We start from the raw sequence: 4,719 nt of genomic DNA on the forward strand, positions 1-4,719 counted from the left end.
CTTCAGAAGAATATTGGTTTTGATGTCCTCCTGCTGTGACAGTTCCCCCCATGTGGGCAGCAGGTAGAAATTTTGGTTTCTTCCCAGGAAAGGCAGGGAAAGGGCCTACAGAAGCTGGGGCCGCAGCCTGTGATGATGGGGTCTACGAGTTAGTTCAGACAGAAGAGGCAGATGGGTTCTTTCTGTTAGGCTTGTGTGATATCTGAGACCATTTTCCTGAAGGAAGGAAATTAGGAAAGGTATGATTAAAACTTCATCTTATGCCTTGGAGAAACAAAGGCCAAAGCAAAATTTGACTCAGGTTGTGACTCAGCGATAAACTTCTGTCTAGAGTAGAACAGGCTTTATTTTGTATAAGACAAAAATCGAACCTGAGGCACAAAGAGAGCTCTTGGATCTGTAGGTAAAATTGTTGGGTTCGTGCACAACTCACAGGGCACTACATCCTCATCCTACTATTTTGTTTTGCATAGAAAAATGAACCTCAGAGAGGAGAGGTGTGATGGCTCACACCTGTAATCCCAGCACTTTGGGATGCCAAGGCTGGTAGATCAGGTTGGAGACCAGCCTGGCCAATATGTGAAACCCTGTCTCTACTAAAAACACAACAATCAGCCAGGAGTGGTGGAACATACCTGTAATCCCAGAAACTTAGGAGACTGGGCAGGAGAATTGCTTGAACCCTGAATTTTCAGTCAGCTGAGATTGAGCCACTACTCTTCAGCCTGGGCAATAAAGCAAGAAGAAAGAAAGAAAGAAAGAAAGAAAGAAAGAAAGAAAGAAAGAAAGAAAGAAAGAAAGAAAGAAAGAAAGAAAGAGAGAATGAGAGAGAGAGAGAGAAAAAGAGAGAAAAAGGAAGAAAGAAATAAAGAAAGAAAAGAAAAGAAACCTCAGTTTTGTTGAGTTTTGACTTTACTCCAAAAAACTTCAGGTTTAAGAGTATGAAATTAGGACCAATTTATACCATTAGATGATGGGTCCTGAATACTCTGAAAACCATTCTTAATGCTCATTGTGATTGGATTAGAAAAGATTGATTCAGTGCAAAAGAAAAAAAGTGATTGGTTTAGGAAATGGTATTTAACTGCAATTTTACTCTCATTGTTTCACTTAGATGTCATAATTTTCTCCTTTAAAGTATTTCAAAAAATCTCCGTCACAATCCACCACTGCAAAATGATTTCTAAAGAACCATTATTTATTTACTGAACATTGTGAAATTTGATCAGATTTCACCCAGAAATGCTGAAGAGGCATTTAGTATACACTAAAACAATATTATCCTCAAATTATTCAACACATTCCCTAAGTTGTATATTATAGAATATTCTGTCTTGTGCATATATTTTTGTGCCAAGTTTAGAACAGAGGGTATTACATTTATGTACAACATATAAAATAAAATATTCTCAATAAAATTTAGGATATACAACAAGTATGAAATTGCAAGATATCTGAAAACTATTTTCTGTGTTCTTAGAATACTTAGGAACAACTAAGGAATACATAAATGATACAAGTAAAATTAATCTTCACTGTATTTCACAAGTATGTAGGAAGACAGGATGATAAAATAAGAGTAAAAATGTTTTTACTAAGTAAGCAAATGACATCACTTATAGGAACAAGCTCAGTTTGTTGGAAAATTAAACACAGGGCAGTCTGTTTTGGGTTGGAAAAGTCGCAGGAACTCCTCCTCTGTTAGTTGTGTTCTCACCCTAAAAATGTACTTATGGTCTCACTGAAACTTGCTGTAGAAGTAATACTATAAAATCTGATCAGGGATCAGGGCCTCACCATATAGTGGTAGTAGCTTTCAGACATCTTCGCAGCCAGTTCCAAAGCCTCGCTGTTTGTCCCAGCAAAGAATGAGCTTGACTACTTGTACCTCTTTATATTGAATCTCTGAAAAATCACACCCATTTCAAACAGGTTGTACAGTTCTTGGAGTTTGGGATAGCCATTAGGGTTCTTGATTAGGTTTCACCAGAAGAGAGGAAATGATTGATTCAACAACTTGGCTAATCTCCATAAACAAACTTTAAACTTCTTGTTATCAAGAACCACTGAGTTTACAACAAACGAACCCTCAAATACCAAATTTGTAGATAATTTTGGAGTCCCTTAATATTTTAATCATCAAAAGATGAGAAAGAGGATACCATCAATTTATGATTTTAATAAATGTCTTCAAAAGTCTGGAATCGTTTTTCTCCTTTTTCTTTTTGTTTTTTTTCTTATGTTTTTGGAAATGTTTTGCCTGAAGTTGGCTTTAATTCTAATAGTCACTGAAGTAGACTTGAAATGCACTTTGCTGTTGCTTTTGAAGCTTGATTTCAGGTTTTAATGTATTACTGTCAATTTATATATATATATAATGTATTTTATATAATATATATTTTTATACATATATAATATATATGTATTTTATATATATTATATATTATAATATGTATTTTATATATATTATGTATACACACACACACATATATATATGTATATACATATATATATAGATTGATGGATAGTCTGGTTCTGTAGCCTAGGCTGGAGTGCGGTGGTGCAATCACAGCTCACAGCAGCATTAAACTGCTAGGCTCAAGTGATTCTTTTGCCTCATTTTCTCATAGAGCCAAAATTACAGATGTGAGCCACTGCACCCAGTCTATTAATTCATGTTGTTGATAAAAGCATAAGAATTATCTTTATTATAAATTAAGAAACAGAATATCTTTAAGGAAATATTATATCTTTTAGGAAAAATAAAATCTTCAGTAGTTATAGACTCTTGTGAAAACCGCCGTTACCAATAGCAATTTTGTGTATGTCTATATAACACATACATAAGTAAATATATATAATATATACATGATTTTTTTCACATTTGGCAGTCATTTAAGAACTTCTTTTACCATATAAAATCTAATTTATATTGGTAAAAGTGAAATAAGTAAAATTTGCTGTTTAGTGAAAACTTTGTTTAGCAAGTTAAATGAAGCTGTAGAAAGTGTGAATTGGATAATAGATATAAAGATATGTCATGAAGGCTTCACACATGGACAAATAGAGGTAAACTAGGAGAGTGATAGTGACCTAAGGAGGATGAGAGTATCATGTATGTCCTATAAACAGCATAATGTGTGAGTGACTGTAGCACACAGTAGAGCTAAGTAGAGAAGATGAGGAGAGAACATATTCAAGGGTGTAATGTTTGATAATTTTTTCAGAGTAAGCAAATGAATTCAGGAAGCCAAAAAATCCCCATTTTGGATGTATAAAACATAAATTTACTTTGTTTTGCATGTGTAAAACAATACATTTTGGCTGATTTTTAGTATTTCTCTGTCTCTGTTGGCTGATTCATTATGATGTGTTTAAGATTGAAACCACACTGTAAAGAGCTCAATATCAGAAAGAGTTTCTGGCTATCTAAACTACAAGTTCAAAAGCCTTCTATATAAGAAACCTCTTTACCAACGCTGCAAATAATAGAATAAAATATGCTAGAATTAGCAAGGCACGGTGTCAGTAGATTCCAATTCTGATGCAAGATGCCACATTATCTGTAAATTAGCCCTGCTTATGATTTTCCTATTAAACTGGTTGCGTTCCATGTTGTGGTTCTACAGTCTGAGGTCTTCCCAAATCTCTTTCATATCTCATCCCTTGATTTGTTTATCAATGGGGGTTTGACACCCAAAGCGATTTGTTTCTCTGATGTTCAAATTCATAGTTCTTTTATAGGAGATGATAATGAAGCAAACGAGTTCTTTTGGGGCAAAAATTCAAGAAAACCAAAGAAAGTTAAATGAGGAGAGCAGGAAAACCAACCAGTGGATTGTAAGTATTAGGCCTTTTCCCTCAGATTCATCCTCAGACAGACATGCTACAAATGTATCCACTTACCACTTGAGTGGAAATCATGTTGCTTAGGACTTGAGGAAGGTTTTTTCTCATGGCTTCCTATCCTGAGGGTACAATGCAGCATTGATTACTGCTCAGAGAGAGTGGTCAGGCTATGGAGTAGGGAGGTTTGGTATTAAAGACTAATTTAAAAACTTAATACTGCAAAAAATTATCTGTGAATCACCATAAATTCCAATGACTCTCATGTAAGCTGTCCGATATCAAAGGGTGTATATTGAAGAAATGATGAATAATAACCTTTCTTCAGGTGTTTTAGGAAGTCATATAATGAATAAAAGAGGTTTAAGAAAAGAATGAATTTGGCTTCTAGTACTGTTAAGATACAATAAAAATAAATGAAGGAAAAGGAGGAATGATTGATTTCATGGTTCTGAGAAGTGGGAAGACATGAGTTTATGTACATAGCTTATTGGTAGGATACATCAGTCAGTCTAGGCTCAGTGGCTCAAGTTCGTAATCCCTATGATTTGGGACTGCTACATCAGAAAAGGGTTTTAAAGACGAATTTCCCTTGAATGATTATTTGTTTTTAAATCCTGTGATGAAATATTTGGTATTAGAAAGCTCAATTGTATTTTCCTCTTTAAAGGAGTGAGTCAGAGCAGCGGCACATGCCCCAGTGTGTGAGCTCAGAGCTCAGTGCTCAACCCATCACTCGACTAAAGAACAGATTTCATGACCTCCAGGTGAGTGTCAACCTGCTGAAGTGATGACCACACAGTGCCTTTCAGGCATGGCTTTCTTTCTTTCTTTCTTTCTTTCTTTCTTTCTTTCTTTCTTTCTTTCTTTCTT

This window comes from Homo sapiens, chromosome 11, assembly GCF_000001405.40.
Source record: "Homo sapiens chromosome 11, GRCh38.p14 Primary Assembly".
Classification (NCBI taxonomy): Eukaryota; Metazoa; Chordata; class Mammalia; order Primates; family Hominidae; genus Homo; species Homo sapiens.